Below are 19,013 nucleotides of genomic sequence, written 5' to 3'. Positions count from 1 at the left end.
CATTTGGTAAATTCAAAGGTTAATAGGTCCCTGCACTCAAAATTCTTCCAGTTTAGTAAAATGTAGTCATTATTTGTTTTAAAGGAAAAAGTATCTTAAACTATTTATTAATGAGTTATAAAGCCAATATAATACACTGGGGCTCAGTGAGTTATAAAGCCAATACGATACACTGGGGCTCTCTTTCCAGTATACCTCTTGCAAGCTACAGGCAAGTCAGTTACATTCTCTGAACATCAGTTTCTTCATCTGAAAATGTGGAACAAAATATCTGCCCTGCCTACCTCGAGCAGTTTTTTTGAACCTTAAAAAAGATGTTGCTTGTCAAAGTGCCTTAAACTGCACATAGAGATGAAGTATGACAATGCTTTGCATGCAGTTGATTCCTAGGGGTGGTTTTCATCCTGTTACCACTTAACCACATTAATCATTTGGTTAGAAAAATAATAGGCCCAGTGCAGTTGCTCATGCCTGTAATCTCAGCACTTTGGGAGGCCGAGGTGGGTGGATCACCTGAAGTCAGGAGTTTGAGACCAGCCTGGCCAACATGGTGAAACTCTGTCTCTACTAAAAAAAAATACAAAAAATTAACCAGGCGTGGTGGTGAGCGCCTGTAATCCTAGCTACTTGGGAGGCTGAGGCAGGAGAATCGCTTGAACGCAGGAGGCAGAGGTTGCAGTGAGCTGAGATTGAGCCATTGCACACCAACCTGGGCAACAAGAGAGAGACTCCGTCTCAAAATACAAAAAGAAAAAGAAAAAAAGAAAAATAATAGAAACTTGGAAATAGAACCTAGAAGGAAAAAGTTACTCGTAGTTTCTAAACCAAATAATTTTTATCATTTCAAGCTGATATTTTACTTTCAGGTTTTTAAATGTCTAGCTTTGGGGGATATTTAGACAATAATTATACTGCACATTCAACTTTCTTCAGAATTTATTACAGAGTCTTTACATAATTATTTTGATGGCCACATTATCTGTTAGTGGGCTATATCATAGTTTAACTGTTTTTAGAGGAGGCTATCAATAATTTTTTTCATATTGTTATGTGTCATTCATTGGAAATAGAGGTAAATATCTTACATATTAACCTTAAAGTAGTTAAAAGATGTCTTAGTCACAATCATTTCTTAAGGCCCAAGAAAAAAATTTAAACATATAGTTTGGTTATCACATAATTTTAGTCAATTCTGCCACACAAATTGCCTTCTAAACATGCCATCTCTCCAGTGCACCCAGTACAGATGCAATGAATAACATAGTTTCTTCCTGTGCACACTAATAGTGTTTAACATTCTACAGTATATTGAAATGACTCTTCCTAAAGTGAAGACTACTCAAATGTTTTTAGTGGCCAATAAGAATAAATTACAGTGTCAGTCCTAAAAATAAAACCCAAAAGTGTCTTCATTGTCTTTATTTCTGTATCCTACCATTTCAGATATTTTTCTTGATAGACTTAACATACGTGTGTTAAGAATAATACAAGTATTAGCCCATCTAATACCTTGACCTCTCAGTTTCATGACCTTGCACCAGTAATCTTGTCCTCTTTCAATTCAACCATCTACCCCGTGATTGTATTCTAGATCTTGTCATTACTAGTAATTGCATGTCCTCTGTAATCTTTGTAGTAGGTATCCCACTCTCTCCACCATATCCCACATTTCCAGGTTCTTCCCTTCAGTACTCTGACTCCAACTTAGCTTAGAATACATAATTTACTGTTTTATCCTTTCCTAGCATCTCTCTTCTTTTGTCATACTTGCCTTGGAAAAACTCCAACCTTGGTTAACTCCTACTTTTAGTTCCTTTGCACTCGTACTCATGAGGAATAGATGAAGAAGCAAGAGAAAAACAGTTATACTTCCTGGTCTCACTTGAGATACATAATCCCTAACCTTAAGTGGGTTCCCAGTATGACCGAGCAATTCTACTGTTTCTATAGTCTTCTACTTTACCTCTCTTCAAGGTAAGTATTTCACATGTTCTCCTCTCTAACTGCCAATATCCTCTCTCTGCCCCTCATTCATAGCTGATAACTTTGTTTCATATGTCATTGGTATTACTGAAGTAATTGGAAGAGAAAAATATCCTCCATCCACCAAATCTGCCAGCCTACCCACATCTGCCTCAGTGTTTGCTGTTTCCTTTCTTGTGAACTACCTTCACCTCATCTAAGGCCTGTCTACTTGTGCGCTAGAGCCCACTTCTCAGTTACTCACAGTAGGCTCCTGCATGTTTCCTCCCCACCTATCCTACATCACCAACTTTAGTACGGCATCATTTCTGTATACTTATAAACATGCTGAAATACCTTCAATTTCATAACTATCCTTCATGGAAAATAATTTTTTATTTCATAACTATCCTTCATGGAAAATAATTTTTTATATTCCTATCTACTTCCTCTTCTGCCATTCTCTATTGAACCATTTCAGTTGGCTTACCTCATGTTACCTCCATCCCATCCTACAGAAACTAGTCTCGTCAAGGTCAACAGTGATCTAATGTTGCCACATTTGATTGTCAGTTATTGGAGTTCCTCTTCCTGGACCTTTTGGTATTAACACAATTGATCACTCTCCTTGAAATACTATTTTTATATGGCGTCTAGAATACCACTTTCTTGATTTTTCTTCCACCTCAGTAACCATTTATTCATTGCTTGTCTCCTTTGTTCATTGCTCTTCATTTAATGGAGTGCTTGTGTCCCAGTATTTGGTCCTTGGACTTCACCTAACTAACTTTCATTAAATTTCATGTATATACTGATAACTCCCAAATTTATATCTCCAATACCTATTTCTCTTCTAACTCCAGACTCATATATCCAGTTGCCTGGATGCATCTAGATACTGAAAACAATCTCAAATAATGCACCTAGATATCAAAAACAGTCTTAAACTTATTTGCCCCAAACTGAATTCTTACCTCCTTTATCTGTTTCTCAGTCAGCCTCATTTCAGTTCATAACAATTCCATTTTTCTAGTTGCTTGGACCAGAAGCCTTGGAGATGTCTTTAATTCTCTCCCTGCTTTCACATCCTGTCTTTGCACTGAAACTTAGAGAATATATCAGGAATCTCAACCATTTCTCACCACCCCACCACCACCGTTCTATTCCAGGCCTGCAACAGCTCTTGCCTGGTCAGTTGCAGTAGCCTTTTAGTTGGTGTCTTCATTTTTCACTCCTGGCCTCTGTAGTCTGTTCTCCACACAGCAGCCAGAGGAATCATTTAATTTTGATACAAGTCAGATCATAGCACATGACTCTGCTCGGAACCTACCATTTGCTGCACATCTCACTCCAAATCCAGTGTTCCTTACCGTGCCCCACCAGGACTGTGGTATTGTCTGTCTGTCTGCCCCCTACTTACCTTTTGGACATCTCAAATCACTCTGCCTCCCTCACTATACTCCAGTCACAGTGACCTCCTTGTTTGTCAAACACACCTAGCATGTACTCACCTTAGCCTTTATATGTATTGTCCTCTGCCTGAAATACTCTTCCTTCTGTTCTTCTTGTGGCTCCTTTCTTCCTTTCAGGTCTTCACTCAAGTGTTACTTTTGCAGATAGGCCTTCTTCTCCTTTGGCCATCTGAAATAGCACTCTCCCCTGACCTTAATCCCTTCACCATGCTTTACTTAGCTTCATGGGCTTGATACAATTATATATTTTTCTATCTATTTTTCTTCCTGTATAAGAGAGGAAAAATAGATAAATATATAAATGTATGTTTACATATTTATACATTCTCCTCCCCTATTTCGTTGATTGTTGTCGTTTTAACACCTGGAACAGTGCCTGGCAAATGAAGGCACCCCACTTATTGTCGATAATCTTTTCTTGAAAATAACATATTCTGCCCTAAAGTGCTCACAGTGAGTCTACTTCCCATTATTTTAAGTGGGAAACGTTATAATGTGTTATCAATTTAAAACCCCCTTCTAGTTATTTTTTTGAGACAGTCTCATTCTGTCACTCAGGCTGGAGTGCAGTGGCACGATCTTGGCTCACTGCAGCCTCCGCCTCCCGGGTTCAAGCAATTCTCCTGCCTCACCCTCCCAAAGTTCTGGCATTATAGGCGTGAGCCACCATGCCCAGCCTACTTTGATTCTTTCTCCACAGTTTTCTTTAATACTTCAACTTTTTGGGGATTCATTATGTGAACAATAGGGAAAAATAAGAGCTTATTGTGAAAGGCACTGTAGAAACTTGTTCAGAATAAATGAATAATAGCAGAGAATGGCCACTTGTCCCTCTCTTAGTTCTAGCAGCAGTTAAGATTTGTTGATATATAGTGAACTTTTGAAAAGCCTAAGTGTGAGTCTGACATTATACCAATTCAGAATGTAACTCGAAAATGTACTCATGCATTGTTTTGTTTAAAATGTTATGTTGAAATTTGGAGACAGAAACATAAATTTTCCTATATAAACATTGACCAGAAACACTGGGTATAGAGAGTTATCTTTGGTCTGTAATGACTATATAGTAAAAGCCAAGAGGCATTCTCCAAGGGAGTAGTATTCTATGAAGTATGCTATTATTTATTGAAGTGCATGCATACATTGCATACTTACTAAGTGTATGCATATGTATTTTTGTAATAGAGACTTTATTAAGGATTTAGTAAGAAACAAAGGAGGTTTATGAAACATAACACCTAGCATAATTAATATAAATTCCCATCAGACATCACTGTCTTCTATATCTCTCTTTGTCTCTCTCTTTTAATATACTCGTTGATGTTTTGAGATTTTACTGATTTGGAAAAAAAATAAAATCAAGAAAATCATGAAAAAAATTAGGATTGCTAGCATAGAAAATACAGTTGTTGCCGGGCGCAGTGGCTCACACCTGTAATCCCAGCACTTTGGGAGGCCAAGGCAGGTGGATCATGAGGTCAGGAGATCGAGACCATTCCTGGCTAACACGGTGAAACCCCGTCTCTACTAAAAATACGAAAAATAAGCTGGGCATGGTGGCGGGCGCCTGTAGTCCCAGCTACTCGGGAGGCTGAGGGAGGAGAATGGCATGAACCCGGAAGGCGGAGCTTGCAGTGAGTCGAGATTGTGCCACTGCACTCCAGCCTGGGTGACAGAGTGAGACTCCGTCTCAAAAAAAAAAAAAAAGAAAAGAAAATACAGTTGTTACTGAACATAAATTCACTTTTTATCACCACGAAGTGCCAGGATATGAAATTCATCACGAGAAATTCTAGGTATTTTGGTAAGAGTGCTATTTTAACGTAAGTACCACAAAGGGAACTATAATGAAAAAAATGGAATGAGTGTAATGAAGTCATCCATGTTCTCACACTATAGATAAAACCCTCAAATCTCTGATGTAGATAACCAGAAGAAGGAGATTCATTCTGTGAAAAATAAAAAAAGTTGGATGCTAAAGTGGTAAGGACAGATTTGAATCAGTAATGTGCTATTACAATAAGAAGAGTCACACATGAATTGCACTCAACTTTGATTTGTGTAGAGACAACTGGTCATTTTAAAGGAAAGTGAGGAAACTGGGAGAGGTTGAGTGAGGCTCAGAGTTAGCTAAGTGAAAAGTTCCAGATAGTGGGAAGGGGGGATTGGTCCATGTGGAACCCACCTGGGTGCTCTAGCTGGTATTTATCAAAATTAGTCTCCTACCTTCTCACAGAGACTGAAAGACTGAAAGGCCCTGTTTTCAGCTCTTGGTTGGAACAAACAATAAATTATTTTGTCAGCCTCGAGTTTTCTCAAGCAGGCACTTTAAGAAGACATCTTAGGGATGCAGGTTAGAGCTGCTAGAAACAATGCTAGTGTTTGTTCAGGTCCTTAGAGGCCAAGGTTGAGGCCTAGTTGAGTAAAGGACTCAGAGGATCATGGCTAGAGTTTGGTCAAAAAGACAGCCTTTGTCCCTGGGAAATTAATATAAATCAGACCCTATCATTCCACTTTTTATCAACTTTCCTATTACACTTAGAATTAAATCCACTCCTCTTCCAGGGCTCACAGAGCCTCCAGGTGAGCTCATCACTCCCTGTATTTCCAGCCTTGCGTTGCACCATGCTTGCTGCTTGCTTGCTGTGCACTAGCCACACTGGTTTTCCTTCAGCCCTCCCTTTGCAGATACTCACTCTGCTTGGAATGTTTTCCTGCATTCTTTGCTTGGCTAGATTCTTTTATGACTGGATAACTGTTAACTCCTCAGAAAGTCCTTCCCCAGTTCACCTACCTACCACAGGTCCTCAGTTTTCTCATCTCCTTTGTTTCTTTCATAGAAAAAGTTGCATTCCAACTTGCAAATGCTGGTATTTGGTTTATTCCTCTGCCTACTTTTTTTTTCATTCTGCCTGCATCAGAATGTAATGCTGGATCTTGTTTACCATTGAATGCCCATCACCTAGCATTGGACTTGGCACATTTTAAGTGTTCAGTAAATATTTATTAAATGAACGGGGACCCTTCAGAGAAACATTTGTGTGAATTAAAACAAATAATTTGCAGATTTTTATTGACAAAGTATAGAGATAAACTTGCTAAGTTAATAACTTGCATCGTTGAAAAATGTCATCTATTATATCTAAATTTTTTCTTTTTTGTAGTAAAGCATTCTTGAATATACATTCAGAGGCATTAAGTACATTCATGTTGTACAAGCATCACCACCCTCCATCTCCAGAAGTTTTTCATCTTCTCAAGCTGAAATTCTGTACCTATTGAACACTAATTCCTCCTTCTATCCTCCTGGCAGCCACCATTCTAGATTCCATCTCTATGAATTTCACTACTCTAGGTACCTCTTATAAGTGAAATCATATATAGTGTTTGTCCTTTTATGACTGGCTTATTTCACTTAGCATAATGTCTTCAAGATTCATCCATGTCGTAGTATGTCAGAATTTTCTTCTTTTTTAAGGCTGAATAATATTCCATTATGCATATGTATGTGTATATATACACACACACACACACCTACCCCACATTTTGTTGATTCCTTCATCCCTGGATAGACACTTGGGTTTCTTCTACCTTTAGGCTATTGTCAATAATGCTGCTGTGAACTTAGGTGTACAAATATCTGAGTCTCTGCTCTCAGTTCTTTTGGGTATATATCAGAGTAGAATTGCTGGATCAGTAATTTTATTTCTTATTTTTTGAGGAACCACCAAAATGTTTTCCACAGAGGTGGTATCATTTTACATTCCGACCAGCAATGTACAAAGGTTTTAGTTTCTCCACATACCAGCTAACATGTGTTACTGTTTTTTTGTTTGTTTTACTAATCTTAATGAGTGTGAACTGATATCTCATTGTGGTTTTGATTTACATTTCCCCAATGACTGATGATACTGAGCATCTTTTTATGTTTTGTTGACCATTTGTCAACAAAAGAGAAATAGACATTTCTCTCTTTGGAGAAATGTAATGTGTCAGAATGTAATGCTGGATCTTGTCCTCTCTTTGGAGAAATGTCTATTCACGTCCTTTGCTTATCTTTAAATCAGGTTGTTTATTATTTGTTGTTGAACATACAAATATTTTGTGTAGTAGTAGAAATACAAAAATACTTAAAACATGTCTTCTTTCTTACTATTAGTGGTGTAAAGTATAATTTGCTAGCTCACACTACCCTAACCTTGGAAAGTGCTGAGGATAGTTTCAAGACCCATAATCTGTCTATTAATGGAAATGGTAAGTACAGTATATATTTTACTTATTACATATATTCTGTCTATATTTCTAATTATAGTATGTTCCCCTCAAGTGGATATCGGCTTAAATAATGGAGACATGAGTGATTCTGTTGGTTCTTTAAAATATATCTGTCCCTCTTCCCCAAAGGAGAAAAGTTTATTTTCCTTTCTCTACACTGAGATTTGCTTGCAAGGCTTAGTGGGAAAAGAAGGGTCTCAGGTATGCTCAATCCTTGTTTTTGACTTGGAATTTATGACTTTACCACTCTTCTAGCTGGAAATTAAAGACCTGACTTATTTTTAAATTTGAAATCAAGGAAGCCAGCTTTTCTGTTAGTAGGAAGCAGAGAATGTAAGAAAGAGAAAGGGTTAAATTATCTTAACTTTTTTCTCTTTGGATGGCGGTGGTATTTAGAGTTTACCTTTTTCTCTTTGGATGGCAGTGGTAGTTATAGTTTATCCAAAATAAAGATACAGGAAACTGAAGAAGGGGTTTAGGTCATTAGGAAGATTTGTAAAACTTAGCATGAGCACTTGCTACTCTCCCAGGTTATTTTACTTGTGATGAAAAAATATGGAGCAGTGCTGGTAAGGCAGTTTGGAAGTATGATTTGGGTTATTTACTTTTGTTCATTTTCTCCAAGCAAAATAAATAAAAATATGTGGTAAAGTCCTAATTATACTTACTGTTGTAAGGATTGTGGCTCTGTACTGATAAGATTGATAATGTTATACCAATTTTTTTTGTTTCACAATGAGAAATTATGTTAAAAATAGGGAAAAGTTCATGAAATGTAAATATGTAGTTTAAAAAATAATTATGAGGCTAGGTGTGGTGGCTCATGCCTGTAATCCCAGTTCTTTGGGAGGACGAGATGGGAGGATCACATGAGCCCAGGAGTTTGAGACCTGCCTGGGTAACATAGTGAGACCCTATCTCTACAAAAATAAAAAAAAAAAGTAGCTGGCCATGGTCGTGCATGCATGTAATCCCAGCTACTCAGGATACTGAGGTAGGAGGATCGCCTGACCCCAGAAGTTCAAGGCTGCAGTGAGGTATGATTGTACCATTGTTCGCCAGCCTGGGCTACAGAGTGAGACCCTGTCTCAAGAAATAGAACATGTCAAGAAATAGAACGTTACTACCCCTCCTTTCCCTCAGTTACCCTAGCTGTACATATGTCTCCATTTATCTCTTAGACTGATTTAATTATTCTTAATAGTTACAGGGTTCTTCAGCTTTTCTATTTCTTGGGTCAGTTTCAATAAGTTATGTTTTTATAGATATCTACCTATTTGATCTAAACTTTGAGATTTATAGGCATTAAATTTTCTATAATGTCCTTATATCTATTGAATTTCTGCAGCCTCTGTAGCATTGTTCCCTCTTTTCCATTCTGATATTTGCTTTCTGTACCATCTCTGTTTTTTAATTCTCATTCTTGTAATAGATTAGTCAGTTTTATTCACCCGTGTGTTCCATATTTGCTAATTATTTGTTAGGAGTAATGATTGTAGTCTATATACTTCATATTACTACAAGAGGTATGATAAAATCTCCTTCTGTGATTGTGGATTTTTCGACCCATAGTTATATCTATTTTTACTGTATATAATTTGAACCTTTGTTATTTGATGCATGTGTTTAAATTGTGTATTTTCTTCTTTTACCTCAAACTGTACTTATTTTTATGTTACAAACATGCCTCTTCAAACAGCATTATATTGGATTTTAATTTTTCTCTAATTTGACAATCTTTTTTTTACCGAAGCTTTTAGTCCTTTCGTATTTAATATCAAATAGCTGTGTATTTAGGTTTAAATCTATGATAACCTGTGTTTTCTGTTTGTCTCACCTATTCCGTGGTTATTTTTTCTTGCCTTTTAAGGCAATTTTTCCTTGTTTGAATTAAGGTTATACATCCTTTTTCTCATTTTTTAGAATTTACCCCTAAAAATTTCATTAATCATACTTATTAAAAACTAAACTTAAAAGATAGTTTTGTGCTTTTCTCAGACAATGCAAGGACTTTAGAACAATTAAACTCTTTTCCCTAACCTATGTGCTATTGTTATATATTGTAATTCTTTTTTTTTTTAGTACTTATTTAGATTTAATATTTATTTAGATTTACCTACATGTTTCTGTGCACTACTTGTATCTTATGCCTTGCATCTGGGATACTTTTCCCTCTGCTTGAATTATAAGCCTTAGAATTTCTTTTAGTGAGTTATGCTGATATCAGACTTCTTGTTCTTTTTGTTTATCTGAAGATGGCTTTATTTTGCCTCATTATTGAAGATATTTCTTAATTCTGCAGTTTTAATTTTTTCTTGTTGAATATTGAACATATAATTCCAACATTTTTGGCTTTTATTATTTTACTATAAATGTTGTAAATCATTTGCCAGTATGTCACCACTATGAGTGTAATCTTTTTATTTATTTTTGCCTTTGGTTTTCTAAAATTTTACCATGGTATAATTAGGTGTAGAGTTTATTTATGCTGCTTGGGGTTTCTTGAGCTTCTTTACATTGTTGATATGTTTCATCAGTTTGGACAAAATCTCTCCTACCTGTTTGAAACTGCCTCTGCTGTTGTGTAGCTTTTGTTCTTTTTGCATGCCTGTTAAACCTATGTTAGTCTTTTTCATTGTATCCTTCGTGTTTCTTACTCTTTATGATGTACTTTTCAACTAACTTACAGATTTTTAGAACATAAGCTATTCATAAATCTGAGATTGCCTATATAAAGAAATTTGCTTTCAAACTTCTAAATTTACAAATCACAAAGTTGATTTCAGATGTATTACTGAAATACATGCTTTTACAGAATTTTCATTTCATTTGCTGCCTGTTTTAGGAAAGATAACTTTTGTTTATTTGTGTTTGCATTTTGGAATTGTATGTATTATGCTCGTGCATTTATTTTTCCCAGATTAAGCCCCTTATTTCTAAAATATAGCAGCTTTAAAATGTATTAATGAAAAAGATTTGAATAGTCTCAGAACATTGTTGTGTACTATTCTATAGTAGAATCTTGGGTAGGTAAATTTAAAACTTTTTGGTTTTACTACAAACCTTTGCTGCCTTGCATGTATATATTAACTATTTTTACAAAAAAAATTCTGGGGTAATTAAAACTTTTTGGTGAATAATAGTTACGGCCAGTAGCTAGCGATTTTGTAGGCACTACCAACAGGGCACAGCCAAAACTTTAAAAATCATTTTTATGTGATCCAGTGTGAACTAAGGGCCATATGTTTGGTTTTTATTTATACTCTGATGTCTAGAATAAATTATTTAATGCTTTCCTCCATATAGATAGGTAGTACACAGGTAGGTATCTTCATTAAAGGACTATCTTAATGTTTTTTGAAGTAACTTTTTTAAACAATGTCAAACTTACAGAAAAGTTGCAAGTTGAATGTCAAGATTTTTTTTTTTTAATTAGAGATGGGTATCGGTATATTACCTAGTCTGGCCTCAAACTCCTGGGTGCAAGCACTCCTCCCACCTTGGCCTCTGGAGTAGCTGGGACTACAGGCAGACACCACCACACTCAGCTTAAATGTCAAGATCTTTTTTTTCTCAAAAAAATTATGACAGCAAGTTGCTTACATGATAGTCTGTACCCCAAAATGTATTAATACATATTTCCTACTATCAGGACATTCAGCTACATCATCATCACTCTTGAAGTCAAGAAATGAATACTAATACATTACCACCATATAATCCTCAGAGTCCATTCAAGATGTTGCCCATTGTCACAATAATGTTCTTTATGGCAGAGGGATACAATGCAGAATCATACATTTCATTTAATTATCATGCTTTTTAATTGTCCTTCAATCTGGGCTACTTCTTCATTCATTGGGCTCTAATGTTCGATGTCAGGCTCCTCTTCCCAGGCATATCTCTTTTACCCTGCTTGCTCAAGACAGAGTCCCAAATCTAGGCTGCGCCCCAGTGTCATCACCCTCTCAGGCCCTTCAGGTGCTGATACCTCCTGCAGGCAGCCCCTGCTACTCACCATTCTCATTCTGCCTGTCTCCATCATCCATTTCTAGCACACCACAGCTCCTTCTCCAGTCCTGGCACAGATGTTCATGTTGGGGGCTCTATCTAATGGCTTATGACTGAATTGTTCAGCAAAAGAAGGGGAGGAGGAAGGGCCAAAAATGTTGATGAAGTTATCTTAAGTTCTCTGAAATAATGTTTTTTGTTTTTGTTTTGCTTTGTTTTTGAGATGGAGTCTTGCTTTGTTGCCCAGGCTGAAGTGCAGTGGTGCAGTCTGAGTTCACTGCAACCTCCGCCTCCTGGGCTCAAGCGATTCTTCGGCCTCAGCCTCCCAAGCAGCTGGGACTACAAGCATGCACCACCATGCCCAGCTAATTTTTGTATTTTTAGTAGAGACAGGGTTTCACCATATTGGCCAGGCTGATCTCAAACTCCTGACCTCAAGTGATCCGCCTGCCTCGGCCTCGCAAAGTGAAATAATGTTTTATTCAGAGGATCACTTTTCTAATTATTATAATGAAAATCAGAACAAAAAGTAGAATTTGACAAACATAAATTACTTTATTAGAATGTTTTTATATTAAATGAGATCACTTATATTCTCTGAACAACTTTCATTGAATAATTAAAATCAAACAAGAGACTAAACAGTTCATTTTTATTCAGGTGATAGCATGCTATAAACTGTCAGTTTAATATTATCCTGTCCTTTCTATTCTCATATTTGATTTTCTCACTTAATATGGCACTGGTATTTGGGTAGGATGAATCTTTACATGAAACTAATTCTAAAATATGTTCTGTACAAAGCAAAACAAAATTGTAAAAAGAGAAAAATCAAAATGTATGATGACCTTAAATAAACTTATATTTATAACTTGATTTTTTTTTTTCTTTCTCCTTTAAATAGAGGAGTCTTCATTTTGGCTTCCCCTGTATGGCAACATGTGCTGCCGACTAGTTGCCCAGCCAGCTTGTATGGCTGAGGATGCATTTGCAGGATTTCTTAATCAGCAGGTTAGAGGACTTTAAATATCCTACAACAATTGTAGCTCTACTTTAAATCTTAATATACAGGCAGTTGTTTCACCTTCTGATATTGAGAAGTATTTTTTAAGTCTTTTTTTAAATGTCAGTTTTCTAAATGTTATCAGATATAAACTGTAGGGGGTGCGGGGTGAAAAGAATGACAAGGTAGGGAGGGATCTACTGCGATGTTGATGGCTAAGGCGCTACCTCTCCATGCTCCTCTGCTTCATTAATAGCAGCAACAGGATAATCAGCAACAGAGGGCTCCGTGTGGAAACTGATGAGGGCTGCTCAACACCTTTCACATAAAGGTCTTTCTGGCAGACAGCGTTTGGCACGGTTTAGGACTCTGAGCTTCCAAAGCTGCCTGCCTCTGTGCCACCTACTGCTGATTTATTTATAACCATAGTTATTTATATTCAGTAAATAATTAATTGTGAACTTCAATGAATCAATAGCTTTTTCTAAAAGATTCCATTAGGAGGAAAGAAAATTTGCATTCTTAAAGGGTAGTTGACATTTTCCGATGCTCTGAGAACAGTAAGGGAAAATAATATTTTGAACATACAGAATTGTTTTTATAATTTTCCTGAGTCATTTGATGAATTGCTATAGAATTCTAAGCACTAATTTTTAATCGACTAGCTTTTCTAAAACACCATTGATCTATGGTTTTATGTGTGTAAAAGTTAGGTGGTAATCGTTGCCTCCATTTCACTTAATGCCTTTAAGAATTCCAAACTTTTCTTCTCTGATATTAACATACTCTTGGATTTGGGGCAATTAACCTTTTGTATATCAAATTAATGGATAATTCCATCACATTTTAAAAATTCTAAATAACTAATTTAACCTTGATAAGTATTTTGATGTATTTAAAGTGATAATAACTTAAAATTGATAGTCTCTTGATTTTTTTTTTTTTTTTTTCAGCAAATGGTAGAAGGTCTGATTAGTTGGAGAAGGTTGTATTGTGTTTTGCGAGGAGGTAAACTCTATTGTTTTTACAGTCCAGAGGAAATTGAAGCTAAAGTGGAACCAGCTTTGGTAGTACCCATTAACAAGGTAAAGGAAATGCTATTTTGAGAAAAAAATATACATCTTAGGAAGTTTGTTTTTGTCTGTGCAGTTTACATTGTTGTTGTCTTATAAATAAAAGAGAAGTACTGGTAAAAACAGGTTACTTCATAAATATGATTTAATCTGTTTCTGTTTTTCTATTAGAGCTTATCTGTTATAAGAAAATGTATATTTCCTAAGAAAACATAGTAATGGACATCTATACCAGTAAATAGGTTTTAAGGCAGAGAATGTAACTCCACATTAGCAGTATATTTAAATTTTTTATGAATTTACTTAAGAGATTAAACATAAATTGTTAGCTCATGTTATTATAGTGATGCTGTTTCTAGTTAGCATTCAAATGAAGCCATAAAAAGACATTCTTGACTATACTTTCTGATTTCTTATGGGATTGATAGGCAATTGTCCAGTCTTCTGACAGAACAGAAAAGCCTGACAGTCCATTTAGAATAGTTGAGTGCTTATACTGCATTTAAAAAGTAGTACCACACTACCTAGAAAATTTGTCAAGTATATATATACTGGTTTGTTACAAAGGAGACTATTGAAATCTAGCTACAATTTTTTCATCTAGAATCCTATAGGAAAACTTCAATATAAGGCAAACTTAGTTTCTTCTACCTCACGGTCTTAAATTTAGCTTTGTCTGTTATTCAAGTCTAGTGTTGATTAGAGGATTTTTCTTTCCTCATTTTTTAGAGCATTCCTACTCTAAAATAATTGCATTTCTAAACCAAAATATCATGGTTTTTGCCTGTGGGCTGCCCCTAATTGTTTCTAGTTGTTCTACTTTGCTTGTCTTTGGTGTAGTTGAAGTGTGTGATAAAACATGAGCCATCACATTTGTTCTCCTTGTCTTTGAAATTATCCTTTAAAGAAGAATGTAAAGTTGTACGTCCTTTTATATAATAGTTGTATTCCTGAAAACGCGTGGGTACCAGTCTACTGATCTATAAAGACTTGAGTTTAGTTTCATGATCTTTTCCAATAATAACATTTTTGTCTGTTTCTATTCCACTTTTAGAAATTACACTGCTTTTTACTTACAGAAAGTCTTTTAGTGAGACCTTTTATTATATAAATTCACCTAATTTAACTGTTTTGTTTAAACTGTTTTGTTTTGACAAATCAAGGACATAATACATCAGTATTATAATGAATCTATTTTGGCTTAGAAAATTAAGTTTTTGAAATATATAATTTTATTAATGAAAAATTGACATGCTTTTTTCATTACTTGCCAACTTTTTATTTTGTTTGGTTTATGCAGTGTTGTATTTCCTGTCGCTTTTTCATACTTTAGTCTTTTGAAAATTTCAGATGGAAAAATTGAAACAGAATAATGAACACCTGTATACCATTCATCTAGACTTTTCAGCTGTTGTTAACATTTTGCCACATTTGCTTTCTTTCTAGTTAAAATTTTTTTCTGAACCATTTTAAAATCAGTTGCAAACAACGTAACATTTCTTCTCTGAATATGTTAGCATATTTCTCCTAAAACCAAGGACACTTTTTCATAACCATAATATTATTGTCATGCTCAAAATGTTTATTGTTGATACAATATTATCTAATATACAGAAGAAATTGCTCTAATTGTCCCCAAAATATCATTTCTAATTTTTATTTAGTGTCTGATCCAGGACCTCATCAAGGATCCTATAGTGCATCTGGTCAGCATTTCCTTTGATTCCTTTCATCTAAATTGTGCCCTTCACCTCCTGCCTTTATTTATTTATGCCTTTCATTACATTGACATTTTTTAAAAGTCCAGGCCAGTTTTCTTCTTAGAATCTCTCCAAATCTATATGTAACTAATTATTTCACTAGATTCAGCTTAAATAATTTTGGTAAAAGTTCTGTGTATATGATTATGTCTACTTTGGCTTTTACTAAATAGCTGAGGAGTAAAAATGAAATCCTACTAATTTTTTTCTTATATTTTATACCATAGAATATTCAGTCATAAAATAAAATGTAATCTAAACAAATGATATTTTTGAAGTCATTAGTTTTATTTGAAGACAGTCTCGAAGGAATTCAACTCGCCATATCTCAGTCCTTTAAGGTAGGCAAAGCAGGGATGACAGCCCTGTTTTACAGGTATATTATTTCTTTTACAAGTGAAGAAATAGTCTCAGAGATCAGATAGAACTTTCCAAACTAGTAAGGAAAATTATATGGCTCACCCTTTTCCTAATGAGTAGGAAAAAATAGATAAAAATTCATGGACTGTTTTTGCTATTTCCTCATAGGCGTACTGCTAGACCAGATTTGGAAGGCAAAATTAGACTTTTTCCTCTCTTCATATCACTGTAAATCAATTTTGAAAGTTAAAAAGTAGCTATAAAATGAGGTTCTGAGCATGAAACCACAGCAGACTTATAGGCGATGGCTTAGGCATGTGTGTGGAAACTTTACGATTTAAATTTAAGAGAACATTTATAATAAAACTGTGTTATTGTAGTCAGTGTGTCTGTATTTTCAGTCTGATGACAAGGATCTAATTCCAGAAAAGTGGTGACAATGTTTATATGGCCTGACTGAATTGACCTATTTTAATTGATTTACTTTTCCTTGTGGTAATAAAGGCTGATGGCCAGGTGACTAATGAGATTTTGTAGTCAATCAGTGGCATTGTAAGATGACTGAAGTCAGCAGACTTGCAAATTCCAGTGTTTCTTCCACAATTGGCCATTACATATCACAGGAAAATTATTAATTTAGTAATTTGTATAGATTTAGCCTTATACTTGAAGACAATGTGAGCTACATTTGACCTTGAGGACTGGTGACTTAATTATCTCTTCCGTTGTACATAACTTCTGTCTAAAGTACAAAAGAGCATTTTAAAATTAGACATAAAATAAGAGTTAAGGTTGGAAAGATATATTTATTATTATTATAGAATATAAATAAATATAATTTAATTGTTAATCTCAAAGATGAAACTGGTGACAAAGTATTCTGTTTTCCTTCTTTGCAATATTGCCATCTTAATTTTCTCCAGTGTTGGTTTCCTGTGTTTTTCTCTTTAGAAGCCTTTTTCTCTTTGTAGTTCTTCTACTTCAGGCTTCCTTTGAATTTTTCCATTCACCTGAAAACTTCCCTCTTAATAGTGAATTCACTGATCTCCTTATTGAAAAAATCAAGCACTATCCCAGTCAAGAAATATATTTGTTACTTCCTAAAACATGACTGTTATATAATTATTTTTCCTTTTAAAGTAATTTTTGTTTTTTCTTAACTTACAAAATGATTCAAATGTACAGAAAAGTTGAAACAAAAAAAACCATACTGATGGCCCATATACATACCACCTAGACTCAGCAGTTAACATTTTGTCATATTTACATTATCTCTTTGATTAAATCTATATTTTTTGATGACCCATTTGAACATAAGACTTTGATATCATGATACTTCATTCCTGAATACTTCAACATGTAACTCCTATTAATAAAAATAGGGACCTTTCATATATATACATAATCATAATACCATTATCACAGCTAAGAAAATTAAAAATAACTCTTATGTCACCTAATATTCAGTCCATATTCAGATTTCCCATTTTCCCAAAATGGCCTTTTAGCTCAGGTCTTCAGTCCAGGATTATTCAGGGATTATGCATCCTCGACAATTCTTCTAATTTGTAAATGAGGTCTAGAGGCTTGATTGTATTTATGTAAAATATTTTTATTAGAATATTTTATGGTCGATCAGACAAGTACGTTATAGAGCCTCCCGTTAGGAGGCTCATGATGTCAGGTTGTCGCCACTACTGGTGATGCCCTCTCTCCAACATAATCTTCCCTCTTTACTATTAGCAAGTAGTCAGTGAGGAGACACTTTGGCACTGTGTGACTGTGTTTGTTTTCTAACAATCTTTCACATAATGGTTTTAGCCACCTGTGATTGTCTTTGCCTAAATCACTTATTACACGGAAGATTCTGGGTGATTTTCTCATACTACTTTCCTTCTACATATGTCCTTCCTTTTGGCATTCTTTTTGTAAAGAAGTTTTTCTTATCAACTAGGGATGAATTACAGTCTCTTGTGAAAAGGCAGGATAAATACTTGGTATCTTAATTGCCAATTTTCAGGGTAAGAAGTTGGTGTCATGTATTGGTATAGCATTGGTATTGGTAATATATATTGGAGTTGATATTACTCCCTCCAGGGGTAGCAGATGAGTGTTATCTTCCTCCCTGCCCTACCTTCACTGTCTCATATAGTGATAAATTAATAGGTTTTTATCTATTCAGTGTTTTAAATTACTTGGTTTTTAAATCTAATGTAGATATTTTGATTGTTTTTCTTACCTTGCAGATTTGTAAGGGAGACATGCTATTAGCGTTTTCTTTTTGGTTTTTTGTTTGTTTGTTTGTTTGAGACAGGGTCTGGCCCTGTCTCTCAGGCTGGAGTGCAATGGTGCCATCACAGCTCACTGCAGCCTCCACCTCCCAGACACAAGGGATCCTCCCACCTTAACCTCCCTAGTAGCTGGGACTACAGGTACGTGCCACCACACCTGGCTAATTTTTGTATTTTTTGTAGAGACAGGGTTTCACCATGTTACCCAGGCTGGTCTCAAACTCCTCGGCTCAAGCAATTCTGCCTGCCTCAGCCTCCCAAAGTGCTGGGATTGCAAGTATGAGCCACCATACCCAGTCTCTTAGTATATTCTTTTTTTTTCCTATTTATTTATTTATTTATTTATTTTTGAGACAGAGTCTTACTCTGTTGCCCAGGCTGGATTGCAGTGGTGCCATCTTGGCTCACTGCAACCTCCACCTCCCAGGTTCCAGCTATTCTCCTGCCTCAGCCTCCTGAGTAGCTGGGATTATAGGCACCTACCACCATGCCCGGCTAATTTTTGAAGTTTTCGCTGTGCCCTGTTGGTAGTGCCTACAAAACAGCTAGCTACTGGCCATAACTATTATTTACCTAAAAGTTTTAATTACCCCATATATATATATTTTTTTTTTAAGTAGAGATGGAGTTTCACCATGTTGCCCAGGGTGGTCTCGAACAATGTATTCTTAAATAAACAAAGGATAAAAACCAGTTTGGTATTTTCTGATACAGCAGGTAAGGATCAAGTAAAACTTTTAAGAATAGTGTTCCTCGGCTGGGTGCGGTAGCTCACGCCTGTAATCCCAGCACTTTGGGAGGTCAGC

At 35.5% G+C, this 19,013-nt stretch overlaps 1 protein-coding gene across 8 annotated transcripts in view; it reads left to right on the top strand.

Annotated features, from left to right (window-relative positions):
* The window catches only part of RTKN2 (rhotekin 2), an 84,945-nt gene that overhangs the window by 37,919 nt on the left and 28,013 nt on the right, over positions 1-19,013 (top strand). For 4 of the 8 annotated variants that reach the window (XR_945618.3, XM_011539457.4, XM_011539460.3 and 1 more), the window contains exons 7-11: positions 7,594-7,688; positions 12,625-12,731; positions 13,677-13,808; positions 15,461-15,502; positions 15,835-15,897. Coding sequence is in view for 7 of the 8 variants with exons in the window: in XM_011539457.4 (XP_011537759.1) it covers positions 7,594-7,688; positions 12,625-12,731; positions 13,677-13,808; positions 15,461-15,502; positions 15,835-15,897 (439 nt within the window). In the remaining variant the exon portion in view is untranslated. The other 4 variants (XM_017015844.3, XM_047424717.1, NM_145307.4 and 1 more) reach the window with 2 other exon arrangements.

This window comes from Homo sapiens, chromosome 10, assembly GCF_000001405.40.
Source record: "Homo sapiens chromosome 10, GRCh38.p14 Primary Assembly".
NCBI classification, from domain to species: Eukaryota; Metazoa; Chordata; class Mammalia; order Primates; family Hominidae; genus Homo; species Homo sapiens.
The sequence above is the reverse complement of the archived record's forward strand: the minus strand, read 5'-3'. Positions and strand labels throughout refer to the sequence as shown.